General features: G+C 42.7%; 1 protein-coding gene across 1 annotated transcript in view, besides 1 other annotated feature; it reads right to left on the bottom strand.

Annotated features, from left to right (window-relative positions):
- Positions 2940-17136, bottom strand: part of GLB1 (galactosidase beta 1) — a 136039-nt gene continuing 121842 nt past the window's right edge. The window contains exon 16 of the mRNA NM_001393580.1: positions 2940-3453. Coding sequence (NP_001380509.1) covers positions 3421-3453 — 33 coding nt within the window. The 3' untranslated portion in view covers positions 2940-3420. The remainder of the gene's footprint in view (positions 3454-17136) is intronic.
- Positions 15924-16093: a silencer, noted in NCBI's record as "silent region_14181". NCBI's record gives its function as "represses an Ori minimal core promoter by ATAC-STARR-seq in GM12878 lymphoblastoid cells {active_cell/tissue: GM12878}" and the evidence as "EXISTENCE:reporter gene assay evidence [ECO:0000049][PMID:35858748]".

Here is a 17136-nt window from a genome sequence, read left to right on the forward strand (position 1 = left end):
CTCTGGTGACATCCAAACAAAACCCTCTTAGAATACCCAAAAGAAAGTTTCTTCCCATTAAGCAAAAGAACCATAGAAAGAAAGCCAGCATGATTTCTACTTTTTTAAATATTTATTTATTTATTTATTTATTTATTTATTTATTTATTGAGATGGAGTCTTGCTCTGTCGCCCTGGCTGGAGTGCCATGGTGTGATCTCGGCTCACTGCAACCTCCGCCTTTAAGGTTCAAGCGATTTTCCTGCCTCAGCCTCCCGAGTAGCTGGGATTACAGGCATGCACCACCACACCTGGCTAATTTTTGTATTTTTAGTAGAGACAGGCTTTCACCATGTTGGCCAGGCTGGTCTCGAACTCCTGACTTCAGGTGATCCGCCTGCCTCGGCCTCCCAAAGTACTGGGATTATAGGTGTGAGCCACTGCACCCAACAAGCCAGCATGATTTCTAAACAAAGATTGGTTTAACTGTAAATTTTCAGACATTAGACTCATGTCTTTCTTGTTGCAACATACCTAGCCTAGGTGTAATTTGCTCAGGAACAATAGAAGTGGGTTTGCTTTTGGGGTGATGTAAATGTTTTGGAACGAGTTGGAAGGGTGGGTTGCACAATATTGTGAATATACTAAATGCTATTTAATTGTACATTTTAAAATGGTTCATTTTATATTATGTGAATTTTACCTCAACAACAATAACGAGTAATAGGAACTAGTCCAGGCAATATCTGTCCCACAGTAGTTTCTCAAATTCTATTGAATAAGTAAATTAATTTCATCTGCTTCTCATGAGAAGGAATAATACAGGGTGAAGCCAAAGGGTCTTTAGACCTTTAGGGAGATTATTTGCAAGGAACTCTCCTAACAATTTGGAACGATTTCTATTGAAATAGTTGCCTATTTTGTGCCAAGCAGAATGCTAGTTTATGGAAATAATAAAGAGTTAAAGAAGTAAGTTCTGCCACTCATGGAATTCACAATCTGATAAAGGAAACACAAACGCAGGATTAACTAGACTGCAAGCAAGACAAGTATGATAATAGAGCCACAAGAAAGATTCTTTGGGACTCCAGAGGAAGGAGAAATTGATTAAATTTTAAATTCTCATAATATGATTAGCTTTTGAAGTAGACCTTGTAGGAGAGGCATGATTTTGATGAAGGGAAGGGAGAAAGGACTCCCCAGCCTGATGAAATAGCATCTGAAAAGGCACAGTGGTGTTAAGAGAGCACTGTGTGGTCAGGGGGTAGTAGTAGGGTTTTCTTGTAGTTAAAGTGCATGGGAGTGGGGCAGTGGAGCAAAGTAGGGAAAGGTGAGACCAAAGAAAAGTACAGACCTAAGAGGCAGCAGCCTTGAGTTATGGACTGAGTCAGCTGCCATCCTGCTCTGGGCTTGAGACTGTCAGGGGGTTAAGGGGCGCTGTCCACACACCCACCAGTTCAGGACTGAAGCACTCACTCTACTAGTCGTCAGGAATGTTGGCCCTGATAGCTCTCAGCTGGTCTCCCTTCAGGAATCGTCCTCCCTGGGGGCAGCTCATATTCAGTGACTGGATAATGAGGAGATACAAGCACTTGCCCCTTGCCTAGATTTGGGATAACTCTGAAGGGCCATTGCTACTCCAGAGCTCCCATAAGATTAGTGGAGGCCTCTGTTGCAACTGTGTTGCAGTTCAACTTTTCCCACTGTCCAATCTGCGTTCTTTCTTTCTTTTTTTTGAGATAGAGTTTTGCTCTTGTTGCCCAGGCTGGAGTGCAGTGGTGTGATCTTGGCTCACTGCAACCTCTGCCTCCTGGGTTCAAGCGATTCTCCTGTATCAGCCTCCTGAGTAGCTGGGATTACAGGTGCCCGCCACTAAGCCTGGCTAATTTTTTGGATTTTTTAGTAGAGATGGGGTTTCACCATGTTGGCCAGGCTGGTCTCAAACTTCTGACCTCAGGTGGTCTGCCCACCTTGGCCTCCCAAAGTGCTGGGATTACAGGCGTGAGCCACCACACCCGGCCCCAGTCTGCTTTGTTTATGCCCTTACAGGTGTGGTTTCCAAGAGGACTCCCTACTAAATCTCCTGCATGCTAATCTCAGAGCCTCAGAGCAAGCTTCCAGAATCCCAATCTAAAACAAGGACTTTCTGATCAAACTGGGGACAAGAGAACACCTAACGTAAATGGAAACTGACCTAGGAGCGGGAAAATGAGGAGACATAATCTTTGCATCAGGGATGTGCTTCATTAATTGCCTTCCAACCATCAACCTCACTTAACAGTTGGCTCCTCTATTTTCCTTTAGTCAGTCTCACTTTGGCCCCATAATTTGCGTGTCTCAAGCCCTGAGGCATCTTTCCCTATACACCTTATTCCTGTTATCGTTACAGCCCATCTCTACCCTTGGTCATGCCACAACCACCTGTCATTCTATATCCTGTACCCTACATCCAGTCAGAGATTGTCCACTCCATCTCCAGCCTTTCTTGACTCAAATGAACCAGACATAAACTCCACCCACTTTTTGTGGTCATAATACTTTACCGCTTGAAAGCTTACAATAGCTCCAAATTCCCCTTTCATAAAATCAGAAATCCAAGTGCTTTTATATATTGACACTCATTTTACCCTCTTCTTAAAGTAGATAAGGTTGATTTTATTACTCCAAGAAATTGAGGTTCAGGAGAAACAATATTTTAATCATGAATTAGACTCACTCCACCAAAAATACCCACCACCTAACTGCCTAGTAAAATTGCTAGCACAAAACTCAATTATTTTTTACTGAATGAGTGGATTTCCTTATCTCTTAATCAAGTACTCTACACTGGCAATTCAAGTTTCTATTTAACTACACAAAGTTCACTAGTCCTGTCTCCAAAATCCCCGTTGTGTTTCTAATAAGACTTTATGTGACCAAGTTCAAAGATTGACTGAATTGTTCCAGAAATACTGGTGGGCTTTAGGTCAAAAATTACTTTATTAAGACTTTTCATATTGAACATAACTGCCAAAGTCTGCATTTTCACCTTTTCTGAGAAATTGTGAAACAGCAGCAAGAAGAATGAATTTTAAAACCCCCAAACTCCATTTGCACCAGACTTAGAGACAGAGATCCTTTTCAGACTCCAAAATACCTGGATGGTCTGCCCAAAGCAGCTGAGATCAGGTGAAACCTGTGTGGGAAAGGGTGAAGTGCAGGGTGGTAAGAGATGGAGCAGGGACAGACGTCAGCAACACGCCAAAGGCATTTCCTGAGCAGAGGGTGCACAGTGAGGTGCAGGAAGAGAGGTGATCAACACTTGGGTCAGAAGTTCTCCTGGCCCCAGTTTGGTTCTGAGAAGCAGAGGAGGCAGGTTTGCCAAATTTCAAATTTGCAGGAGGCAGACAGTCAGTCTCTGTGGCAGCAGAAAAGAAGAGAGCCATCGGGTTGTGAAGACAGCTAGCCTGGAAAACTGCTGCCATCGCCTTCGTCCTAGGCAGAAACACAAACATAAGCACATTAAACAATGCAAAGACAAATACTGAGAAAAATGACACCATTGACTGTAATCTGGAGAGGAATACTAGAGAAATATAGGAAAATACAGAAAAGATTTCATTATCATGATAAAATATGTCTATCTCAGCTGAAAAGGCATCATGGGCCACTCCAGAGGCATTCCAGCTAGCTAAAAATAGGAAGGAACGCCTGTGATCACCACTTCTATATAACATTGCCCTGGAGGTACCAGCTCCACAAGATAAGGGGAATAAAGTAGAGGTATAGAAATTGGCAGTGGCTCATGCCTGTAATCCCGGTACTTTGGGAGGCCAAGGCAGGCGGATCACTGGAGGTCAGGGGTTTGAGACCAGCCTGGCCAACATGGCGAAACCCCGTCTACTAAAAATACAAAAATTAGCTGGGCATGGTGGTGCGTGCTGGTAGTCCCAGCTACTTAGGAGGCCAAGGTAGGAGAATCGATTAAACCCAGGAGGCGGAGGTTGCAATGAGCTGAGGTCACGTCATTGCACTTCAGCCTGGGCGACAGAGTGAGACTACATATTAAAAAAAAAAGAGAGTCTGAGAAGCTGTCACAGCCAAGGGGAGCCTAAGGAGACAACTACATGTCATTAGTTCTGGATCAGAAAAAGGACATTAGCTAAACATTAAGGAAACATGTCCAAAAAGAATGGACGTTAGTTAATAATAATGTATCAGTATTGGTTCAGTAAGTATAGCAAATGTAGCTTTCTAATGTATGGTGTTAATAACAGGGGAAATGTGATGTGCAGTAAATGGGAACTTTCTGTGCCATCTTCACCAGTTTTTTGGAAATCTAAAACTGTTCTAAAATACAAGTTTATTTAAAAAATTGGAAAGGGGAAGGGAAAATATTTCTAGTTCCAATAATACTGTTGAATAATTGGAACACCCAAGAGAATTACCTGAAAAACTATTATTAACAATAAGATAATTATGCAAGTTAATAAGGGAAGATGTTAATACATCAAACTCAATTACATTTATATTTACAAATAACAATCAGGAGATGTGGGATAACAGACCCACATTATGAAAGAGAATAGAAATAAATAATAATTAAAATATATATTATCTATACATAGTATGAAATAGATAGAAAATATATGGGAACAACTTAGTCTAAAACACTATTCCAGCACTAGGCCAGAAAAGGCCTTATACAAGCAAGCTCAATGGCATAAAAAACACCAGTTCTTTTCAGTTAAATTATTAAATACAATGTTATTCTTCAAGACATATTAATAGCCTTTTATAAATTACATACACCGATTTAAAAGCTTACATAAGAATGAACAACAACAAAAAATAGCCAGGACCACTCTGAAAAAGAAGAGCAATGAGGATACGCATATTATAAATTAATATGTATGTTAAATTAATTAGCTAATTAAAATATACAGCAATGTTGCAGAAAGTCAAGTGAAACAGAATGGGAAATCTAGTTTAGTATGAGATCAAAATACAAGTGAGAATTTAGTGCATATTAAAGATGGCAACTTAAATCAAAGGAGGAATACAATAAACTATTTATTCAGAAGTGGGCCAAATGTATTGGCATCTGGAAAAAAAATTAAGCTTGATTCATATGTCACACTACACATAGTTAAATTCCAAACAGAAAAAAAATATTTAAATGTAAAAATTGGAAAAATAGAAGTTCTAAAAGGAAACATGGGACAATTTCTTCACAATTTGTGCAGCAGGCAAAGCCTTTCTAAAAATAACTCAAAATTCAGAAGCCATGAAGGAAAAGATTAATAAATTCAACTATGTGAATTAAAAATATGCATGACAAAAACATCCCCAAAGAAAAAGTCAAAAGACAAATGATAAACAGGGTCATCTGGTTGCAGTTAAATGCAATTGAACTTTTTTCAAATTACCAAGTGGCACATGGATGTTTGTTACATTATTCTTGGTACTTTTCTATATGGTTGAAATGCTTAATAATAAGTAAATTAACATATACTATGAAATATGGTGCCATTAAAAAGAATAACTTTCAGCTATATACCTATACCATTCACAAATGTCCATAATATCTTAAGTGCATTTTGAAAACCTGTAAGTATAAACCCCAAACTGTTAGCCATTTTATAGAGGAAAAAATTATGCTTTGTATGTTCTAGGCTTCTTTATTTCTTTAAGCAAACATGCATTACTTTCATAATCTGCCAAAGCAATAGCAATATTTCCATTTTAGGAAAAAAAGGAGAACTTTATGATGATGGAGAACTGACTAAAATAAACCACACAGAGATACTCTAGAACATAGGGCTCCCAGGTGACTTGAGCATGCGGATGTCATCCTGATGTAACACCTGCCCACAGAGATGTGCAGTGCTTTGAAGAAGATGCTGACGTCAGTCCTGAGGATGAATAACTGAGTTTATGGTATGAGATAGGTACAAGATAGCATGCTGGAGCCTGCAGAATGTTTGAATTCTTTTGATCATGCTTGATATAAACAGACTATCATTGGAGGCGAGCAGGCAGGAAAAAGATCTGCACCAAGACTAGACTGTACAACCACCTCTCCATGGTTACCTTGGTTAGGGAGCTTCCTCCTAATTGTTTTGATGTCACAAGAAAAATGTCACACACAAATAAAGTGAACGATGGTTCACATGGAGCATTGTGTGGTCTAGTTGGGCTCCTCTTCATGGAATGACCAGGGAAGAATTTGAGGGAGTTCGTGCAGTGGACAAAGGGTAAATATATGAGGGAATGGATTTGAGTTGTAAATACAAGAGTTATTTCTAATCTGAGTCCTTAAGAACTTCTTGAGGGTTACAGATCTGTTCATTCTATTACTAGAAAGACTTCCAATTAAGGTGCAGTAAAAAGTTCACAGTTTGGGGATCTTCCTGTTTTCCAAAACTAATTGAAATGTGATAGGCAATATATAACAACAGAAGTCTGATTGATGTCTAGGTACAAATGCCACTTTGAAAAACTGTTAGACAACTCTGTGTAAAGTTGAACATGTACCTATTTTATGATCCAATAATTCTACACCTAGGTATTGATCCAAGAGAAATGAAAACTTTGGTCCATAAAACGACTTGTTCAAGAATGTTGGTAACATCACAGTTGATATGATTTGGCTGTGTCCCCACCCAAATCTCATCTTGAACTGTAGCTCCCACAATCCCCACGTGTCATGGGAGGGACCCAGTGGGAGGTACTTTGAATCATGAGGTTAGGTTTTTCCCATGCTGTTCTTGTGATAGTGAATAAGTCTCATGAGATCTGATGGTTTTATAAAGGGCAGTTCCCCGCACACACTCTCTTGCCTGCTGTCATGTAAGATGTGCCTTTGCTCCTTTTTCACCTTCCACCATGATTGTGAGGCCTCCCTAGCCATGTGGAACTGAGTCTGTGAAACCTCTTTCCTTTATAAATTACCCAGTCTCAGGTATATCCTTATTAGCAGCATGAGAACAGACTAATACAGTAAATTGGTACCAGGTAGTGGAGCACTGCTGTAAAGATACCTGAAAATGTGGAAGCGACTTTGGAACTGGGTAACAGGCAGAGGTTGGAACAGTTTGGAGGGCTCAGAAGAAGACAGGAAGATGTGGGAAAGTTTGGAACTTCCTGGAGACTTGTTGAATGGCTTAGATCAAAATGCTGATAGTGATATGGACAATAAAGCCCAGATTGAGGTGGTCTCAGATGGAAATAAGGAAGTTCTTGGGGACTGGAGCAAAGGTGACTCTTGTTATACTTTAGCAAAGAGACTGGTGGCATTTTGCTCCTGGCCTAGAGATCTATGGAACATTGAACTTGAGAGAGATAATTTAGGGTATCTGGTGGAAGAAATTTCCGAGCAGCAAAGTGTTCAAGAGGAAGCAGAGAATAAAAATTTGGAAAATTTGCCGACTGATGATTTAATAGAAAAGAAAAAAAAAACATTTTCTGGGAAGAACTCCAAGCCTGCTGCAGAAATTTGCTAAGTAACAAGAAGCTGAATATTCTTCACTAAGATAATGTGGAAAATGTCTTCAGGGGATATCAGAGACCTTTGTGTCAGCCCCTGCCATTACAGGCCTGGAGGCCTAGGAGGGAAAAATGGTTTCCTGGGCCAGGTCCAGGGCCCCCCTGCAGTGTACAGCTTAAGGACTTGGTGCCCTGTGTCCCAGCCACTCCAGCCATGGCTAAAAGGGGCCAAGGTATAGCTGGGGCTGTGGCTTCAGAGAGTGCAAGCCCCAATCCTTGGCAGGTTCCATGTTGTGTTGAGACTGCAGGTGCACAGAAGTCAAGAATTGAGGTTTGGGAACCTCTGCCTAGATTTCAGAAGATGTATGGAAACGCTGGGATGTCCAGGCAGAAGTTTGCTGCAGTGGTGAGGCCCTCATGGAGAATCTCTGTAGTGCAGAAGGGAAGGTGGGGTTGGAGCCCCTACACAAAGTCTCCACTGCTGTATTGCCTAGTGGAGCTGTGAGAAGAGGGCCACTGTCCTCCAGACCCTAGAATGGTAGATCCACCAACAGCTTGCACTGTGTACCTGAAAAAACTGCAGACAGTGTCAGCCCGTTAAACCAGCTGGGAGCGGGCTATACCCTGCAAAGCCACAGGGGCGGAGCTTCCCAAGGCTGTAGGAGCCCATCTCTTGCATCACCATGACCTGGATGTGAGACATGGAGTTAAAGGAGATCATTTTGGAACTTTAAGGTTTACTGACTGCCCTATTGGGTTTTGGACTTGCATGGAGCCTGTAGCCCCTTTGTTTTGGCCGATTTCTCCCATTTGGAGCAGCTGTATTTACCCAATGCCTGTAACCCCATTGTATCTAGGAAGTAACTAACTTGCTTCTGATTTTACAGGCCCATAGGTAAGAAGGGAGTTGCCTTGTTTCAGATGAGACTTTGGACTTGGACTTTTGCATTAATGATGGAATGAGTTAAGACTTTAGGGGACTGTTGAAAAGGCATGATTGGCTTTGAAATGGAAGGACATGAGATTTGGGAGGGGCTGGGGCAGAATGATATGGTTTGGCTGTGTCCCCACCCAAATCTCATCTTGAATTGTAGCTCCCATAATCCCCATGTGTCTTGGGAGGGACCCGGTGGGAGGTAATTTAATCATGGCAGTGGGTTTTCCCATGTTGTTCTCATGATAGTGAATAAGTCTCGCAAGATCTGATGGTTTTATAAAGGACAGTTCCCCTGCATACGCTGTCTTGCCTGCTGCCATGTAAGACGTGCCTTTGCTCCTCCTTGCCTCCTGCCATGATTGTGAGGCCTCCCCAGCCATGTGGAACTGTGAGTCCATTAGATTTCTTTCCTTTATAAATTACCCGGTCTCTGGTATGTCCTTATTAGCAGCATGAGAATGAACTAATACAATACTTAATGGTGCAAGATGGACTGCTTTCTCCCCAGGATCAGGAACAAGACTAGGATGTCTGCTCTTCCATTTGTATTCATATTGTATTGGAAGTTCTCATCAGGACAAAAATCAGCAAGAAAAAGAAATAAAAGGGATAGAGATTGAAAAGGAAGAAGCAAAATTATCTTTTTGTAGATGATGTGATCTTATATGCAGAAAATTCTAAGAAATCCACTATAAAACTATTAGAGCTAATAAGTGAGTTCAGCAGGTTGCAGGATACCAGATCAACATACAAAAAACAATTGCTTCTACTTTGGGAGGCCAAGACAGGAAGATCACCTGAGGTCAGGAGTTAGAGACCAGCCTGGCCAACATGGTGAAACCTCGTCTCTACTAAAAATACAAAAATTAGTCAGGCATGGTGGTGTGTGCCTATAATCCCAGCTACTAGGGAGGCTGAGGCAGGAGAGTTGCTTGAACCTGGGAGGTGGAGGTTCAAGATGGTATGTGAATTATATATCTCCCTCTACCCACAAAATGCTTAAAAGGTAACTTAACCCTTTGATGGGGCTCAGTCCTTTGGATGTTAATCTGACTGGGCTGGTGCACCTAAATAATTAATAAATATCCTCCTGAACCCCATCGGTCTCTCTGATTCCTTAAAATCCTGCTACATTTCTGGGAGCTCGCCCATGAATGGAGACAACAGATTTACTGTCTCCTTTGTCTGCGGGACTAGAGCCTCAGGGCCAGGGGAGACCTGGCATCCAAGGTGCACCACGGGGGAGTTTCACCTGGATGGAAACCAGCTCTCCCTGCATCCCAGCACCCTGCCTGGTAGCGGAACGGAACTGGGGGTGGGGCTGCAGGACAATACCAGCTCTTCAGGAACCACGGTAAGGAGCAAGGGCCCAAGGCAGGGAAGCCTGTCCCATAAGGACAAAGGGGAGCTTGATCACCTCCCGGGGAATGACCACTAATCCAACTCAGAGAGGCTGAGGGCGGCAGGAGTGGCTTTTCAATTTGGATGAACTTCGTGTCCCCACTAACAAAGTGAAAGTGGCTACCAAGATGTACATTAACCGAGATCAGGAGGCAAAGAAGGAGGCTGATTGGAAGCATAAGAAAGGTTAATTTACTAGCAGCAGCCCTTACGGGAAGAGAAGCTGGCTTTGCAAGGAGGCATGGACATGGGCGTGAATGCAGTCTTGGAAAAGGCTGGTCTGGACAGGAGTTTAAAAACCAGCCAAGGCCAGAGACAGATTAATGTGCATGGTGCAAAAGGAAAGGACATTGGAAGGATAAATGTCAAAAGAATAAGGAGAATGGTCAAGGCCATGGTATGAAAAAAAACACTGGTCAAGGGCTACTGCACCCAGGAGAAACCCAAGACCCCCTGCACCTGCTGTGGAAGGCAGGGTATAAAGTGTCAAGAAAAAAAAAGCTCAAATCTGCTCTAAAAGTGTCCAGCATTTAAGCTTTTATATAAGCCAAGAGAAAAGATGGCTTAGTAGTGAACAAAAGCAGGCTGTTTGTGCACTTCCTACTCCAACCACCTGGTGTCAAATAAGAGAGTTCCTAAGGGCAGCAAGGTTCTGCTGCATTTAGATCCCAAATTTCTTGCTCATGGCTAAGCCATTACATGAAGTCACAAAGAAGAGGAAAGAAGGAGCCCCTCCTCTAGGAGGCCAACCAGGAGAAGGCTTTTAAAGAAATCAAAGAAGCCTTGACTCAGGCCCCAGCTTTAGGACCGCCAGATCTAACTAACTAAGCTTTTCTTCTTGTATGTCCACAAATGAAAGGGAGGCCATAGAGGTTCTAACTCAAGCCATAAAGTCATGGCATCGCCCAGTGACATACTTATCCAGGCAATTAGATTCTATGGCACTTGGATGGCCTCCTTGTTTTAAAGCACTAGCTGCCACTGCCCTACTGGCATGGGCAGCTAATACACTGACTTTAAAAACTGTGAATACCCTAAACCTTAGCTCCTCATCAAGTCAGTCCCAGGAGGCCCCCTTCATTGCTGTGTGGATGTGGTAGATAGAGTGTTCTCAAGCCGGAGAGATTTGACACATCGGCCCCTTGGAGACCCGGACATTGAATATTTTACTGATGGAAGCAGTTTCATACTAAAGGGAGTCCGTCGTGCTGGGTATGCAGTGGTGACTTTGGACTCAGTAGCAGAGGTGCAGTCTTTGCCTACAGAAACTTCTGCTTAGAAAGCAGAGCTAATAGCTCTGACAAGAGCTCTCTGGCTAGCAAAAGGCCAAAAGACAAATATTTACACAGATTCCAAATATGCTTCTGCCACTTTGCATGTTCATGAGGCTATTTATAAAGAAAAAAAGACTTTTAACCGCTGGAAGTAAAGAAATAAAGTAACAAGGAAGAAATTCTACAGCTCTTAAATGCTGTATGGGCCCCAAAAGAGGTGGCAGTGATGCACTGCAAGGGGCACCAAAAAGCAAGAACACTAAAGGCTAAAGAAAATAGAAAGGCAGACAAAGAGGCAAAGCAGGCTGCAATGACAACTCCACCTTCTAAAGAAGAAGCCTTAGCTATGCTTCTCCTCCTGGAGATTCCCCTCCCGGAGATCCCAAGCTACACTCCAAATGAAAAGGCTTGGTTTTCCCAGGAAAATAAGAACTACATTGAAGGAGGATGGTAAAAATTCTCCAGTGGGAGGCTAGCCATACCTGAAATGGTGGCCCCCAGATCTGTAAAAGAGTTCCACCAAGGAACTCACATGGAAAAAACAGCACTAAAGACATCATTAAGGCATCATTTCCATGTGCCATGACTCACTGCTATTACTCGAGCCGTTTGTAAACAAACAGTGTTTAACTTGCACTCAGAACAATCCACCACAAGGGCCTACTTGGCCCCCGGGAGTTCAGGAAACAGGAGCCATGCCCTGTGAAAAACTGCTTATGGACTTCACCGAATTGCCCTGAGAGGGAGGCTATCAGTACATGTTGGTGTTCATTTGCACCTTTTCAGGATAGGTCATGGCCTTCCCCACCTGGACAGAGAAGGCACTAGAGGTGACCAAGGTGTTAAGAGACATTATTCCCAGATTTGGACTGCCTCTAACTCTAAGATCAGACAATGAACCAACATTTGTGGCTGAAATAGTTCAGGACTTAACTTGACTATTAAAAATAAAGTGGAAATTACAGACAGCCTACAGGCTGCAGAGCTCAGGTAAAGTGGAGTGCATGAACCGAACACTCAAACGGCTGCTGAAGAAATTTTGTCAAGAAACTCACGGTGGAATCAAGGTCTTGCCCATGGTCCTCCTCCGAGTCAGGTGCACCCCCACCTAACAAACTGGGTATTTGCCCTATGAGATTTTGTTCAGCCGGCCACCCCCCATTATAAGTCAGATTAAAGGTAATCTCTGTAAACTAGAAAAACTAACTTTAAAAAGGCAAATGCAGGCTTTAAGCATGGCCATGCAAAAGATGCATGGCTAGGTATGGAAAAGAATGCCTATAAGTCTAACAGACTTGTATACTCTTTCAAACCTAGGGACTTTGTTTAGGTTGAAAAATGGAATTCAACCACTCTAGGACCCATATAGGATAGGCCCCATATTGTTATCATGTCTACTCTCACTGCTGTTAAAGTTGCAGGTGTCACACGTTGGATTCACCATAGCCGGCTGAAACCAGTGGCAGCAGTGACTCCCGATGACAACCAGTGGATTAGCCAGCAAGACCCAAATCGCCCCACCCGAATAATCCTACGGCGAAACCTAACCACCGGTAAGAAGGACAACTGCCCTGCTCTGACCACACTGGAAGCTAAGCTCTTACCCTAAGCTCTTACCCTATGAATTCTGGTTTGAGGTTCATATTAAATCGGAGAGAGAAAAAGAAAGAGAGCTTATAGCTCAAACCAAATAATCCCCTCCCTCCTATAAAGGGCCTATTTCCTTGTACTTTGATGCCTGCCATGCCATGTATGTTCATAACCATAAAAAACCAGAAGCAATCTGCAATGGTTTGACACAAGAGAGGCTTAGCAGCAACAGTCCTAAACATCTGTACGGAGAACCACAAATCGGATGCCCGGACTGTAACATTCAGTGGTCTACGCTAACACAGCTCCAACATTTATATTCAGGAAGGACTGCTCTACTAAGTAGTATGTCAACCAAACCAGATTGTAAGACAAGGACATGCAATCCTTTAGATATTACTATCTTAAAGCCAGAGCTACCTTTTTGGTCTATAGGACAGACAGCACTATTATGAGTTGATAGACAAGGAGCAGGCCTTGGAGTTCCACTACTAATTGTCAAAAAGACTAGAAGGACTCAAATGCATCCAACCCTGCAATTCCGGGTCCATAAGTCATTCTATGAGCATTTTAATCAGCCAGTGCCCGAGCTTCCTCCATCAACCAAAAACTTATTTGCTCAGCTAGCTGAAAACATAGCTGGCAGCTTAGGAATTTCCTCATGCTATGTACGTGGAGGAACTAATATGGGGAACCAGTGGCTGTGGGAGGCAAAGGAATTAATGCCACAAGATAACTTCACTTCGCCTAACCTTGCCGGTAAACCAAAAGCCTCAGCCAGCGTTTGGTTGTTAAAAGCCTCCATAATTGGAAAGTACTATATCGCCTGATGGGGAAAGGCTTTCACAGAGGCAGTAGGAGAAACAACCTGCCTAGGGCAACAGTATTATGATGAGACTAAAAACAAAACTCTATGGAGAAACGCCCAGAACGACTCCTACTTACCAGATCCAAACCCTTTCTCTTGATTCTCTACTCTAAGCCACTCTTGGCATCAGCTAGAGGCTCCAACTGCTTGGAAGGAACCCTCTGGCCTATATTGGATCTGTGGAACACGGGCATATCGGCAACTGCTGGCTAAATGGACAGGAGCATGTGTGTTAAAAACAATCGAGCCATCCTTCTTTCTAATTCCTCGAAGGCAAGAGGAACTCTTAAGATATCCAGTTTATGATAAAAATAAAACTAGAAGAAGCATAATCACAAAAATAGACACAAATATCAAAAAGAATATGGACATAGGAAACTGGAAAAATAATGAATGGCCTCCTGAAAGAATCATTAAATACTATGGGCCAGCTACCTGGTTGCAAGACAGGTCATGGGGGTACCGTACCCCCATCTATATGCTCAACCACATCATAAGGTTGCAGGCAGTCCTTGAAATCATAACCAATGAAACATCAAAGGCACTAGATTTATTGGCAATCCAAGCAACACAAATGAGGAATGTTATATATCAAAATAGGCTGGCTTTAGATTACCTCTTAGCCTCGGAAGGAGGAGTATGTGGAAAATTTAATTTAACCAACTGTTGCCTAGAAATCGATGATAATGGCCGAGCTGTCATGGAAATCACAGCTAGAATGTTCAAGTTAGCCCATGTTCCAGTTCAGACTTGGTCCAGGTGGTCCCCAGACTCCTTGTATGAAGGATGGTTCTCAGCCTTTGGAGGATTCAAAACCCTCATTAGTGGGTTCTTGCTTATTCTTGTCATCTCCTTCATCCTCCCTTGCCTTTTACCCCTGTTTATTAGTAGTATTCAGTCAACTATGGAGGCAATAGTAGCCTGACACACTACCGTGCAGTTGATGACATTAACCAGACATCAGCCACTGCTGTTTAGAAGAAGCAGCTCAGCTCCAAGAGGAGGTGGCAAATAATGGTGCTTTCTATTAACACCTCTGTTATAAAAAGCACCAAAGAGGGGAACAGAACAGGAATTAAGAGAAATTAAAGAATGTGTAAGCAGAAACTCAGTTGTATGTAAGAAAACCCAATTCCCCCTAAGAAAGAGAAAGAGCTGGAGTCCTTAAAACCCGCCTGTTTTTCTGTGGCTAGTAAGCCTTATCTCTCCTCCCTTACCAGGCATTGTGAAGACCCTGTTTCCCTGGCTGTGCAGCTGCAAGGTCACTAGACAGATAAACTCAAGTCACAAAACATGTTTTTCCTTGAAAAGTAAGAAATGATGTAATGCATGTCTCAATTGAATAACTGTCTTTGTTTCTTACTTCTGTAGTATGCTTCCCCCTGCACAGATCTCCCCTCACCCACGAAATGCTTAAAAGGTAACTTAACTCTTTGTTCGGGGCTTAGTCCTTTGGATGTTAATCCAACTGGGCTGGTGCACATAAATAATTAAGAAATATCCTCTTGAACCCCATCAGTCTCTCTGATTCCTTAAAATCCCACTATAATAGAGTGCAAGGGAACACTCTGGATGATGGAAATTCTCTATCTTATTGGATGTGGGTGACCTGTGTGTGTGTGTATATATATATTTGGTTAGTGCAAACATAATTGCATTTTTTTTTTGAGAAGGAGTCTCACTTTGTTGCCCAGGCTGGTGTGCAGTGGTGCAATCTTGGCTCACTGCAACCTCCACCTCCTGGGTTCAAGCAATTCTCATGCCTCAGCCTCCCCAGTAGCTAGGATTACAGGTGCATGCTTGCATGCTACCACATCCAGCTAATTTTTGTATTTTTTAGTAGAGACGGGGTTTTGCCACATTCGAGACCAGGCTGGTCTTGAACTCCTGACCTCAAGTGATCTGCCCGCCTTGGCCTCCCAAAGTGCTGGGATTACAGGCATGAGCCACCACGCCTGGCCTAATTGCGGTTTTGGCCATTACTTTCAATGGCCAAAACCACAATTATGTTTGCACCAACCTAATATAAATTTATCAAAACTCATTGTACTATACACTTAAAAGTCTACATGTTTTATGGTATGTAAATTGTACATCAATGAAAAATAAATACTATTTCAAACAAACAAACAAATAGGATTAAGCATCTTTGAGGACAAGAATTAGGGAATAGAAGCAAAGTGTTGAGCAAAGCTGAGATTGTAAGTCCTCTGGGTTTTGGCACTTGAAGCAAGCAGCAGCTGCCAGGAGCTCAGATCCTGTAGGGTAACTCTGCTCCATCTAATATGGGGAGGGGGGCTGCAGTCAGAGGCTAGGGCAAGGCAGAGCTACTCCTCATCTGCAAAGAGACAAACTGCTGGTTGGCAGCTGTAGGCCTTGTTAGGCTGGAGGATAAACACAAACTCATGACTAAGATTTGAAGCAACCCCTAAGCTCCCTGCTCAACAACTAGAACTGTGGTATGCGCAAACCATTACAGGATGTGAGATTCAAACCACTAACAGAAGACCTGATTTTGGATTGCAACTCTAGGCTGCTAACTGGAAGGAGTCTTAGACTGGGTTCCTGAGAAGCAGAACCTGAGGCAGGGATTCTAGTGCCAGTGATTTATTGGAGATGCTTCCTGGAGAGGGGGAGGGAGGGAAAGAAATAGGACCAGGAAGGGGAAGAAGCTAAATAAGAATGTGCTCTGTATTAGGGTTCTCCAGAGAATCAGAACTAATAGGATATATACCCATATCCACATCTATATCTATATCATTAATCTATCTGTATCTATATCCATATCTATAGCTGTGTCTCTATTATCTATCTATATCCATAAATTTATAAATATCATAAAAAATTTGCTTACATGATTATGGAATCTGAAATGTCCCAAGGTCTGCAGTTGCCAAGCTGGAGATCCAGGAGAGCTGAGGATGTGGTTCCAGCCTCAGTCCAAAGGCCTAAGGACCAGTAGAGCCTATGGTGTAAGTCCAAAACCTGGCCATCTTGAGACCCTAAAAGAGTTGATGTTTCCATTAAGAGTCTGAAGGCAGGAAAAGACTGATGTCCCAGCTCAAGTCAGTCAGGAAGGAGGAGTCCCCTCTTACTTACGAAAGGGTCTATTCAGACTCTCAATTAATTGGATGAGACCCACCCACATTAGGGTGGGTGATCTGCTTCACTCAATTTACCAATTCAAATGTTAGTGCCATCCAGATACACACACACAGATACACCCAGAATGCTGTATGACCAAATGTCTGCGCACCCTGTAACCTAGTCAAGTTGGCACATAAAATTAACCATCACGAGTTCCCTGCTGGAGTCTAGCCCTAGCTTGATCTCATGGAGGTTTTGGAGCATGAATTATGTGACAGAATGAATCCCACTTTGAGGCAAAGGGTGTCAACTCTTTATTTTTATTTTTGAGACGGGGTCTCACTCTGTCACTCAGGCTGGAGTGCAGTGGCATGATCATGGCTTACTGCAGCCTCAACCTCCCAAGCTCAAGTGATCCTCCCACCTCAGCCTCCTGAGTAGCTGAGACTACAGGCATACACTACCATGCCCATATAATTTTTAAATTTTAATTTGCAGAGATGGGGTCTCACTATGTTGCCCAGGCTGGTTTC

The sequence above is a fragment of the Homo sapiens genome, chromosome 3 (genome assembly GCF_000001405.40).
Source record: "Homo sapiens chromosome 3, GRCh38.p14 Primary Assembly".
Classification (NCBI taxonomy): domain Eukaryota; kingdom Metazoa; phylum Chordata; class Mammalia; order Primates; family Hominidae; genus Homo; species Homo sapiens.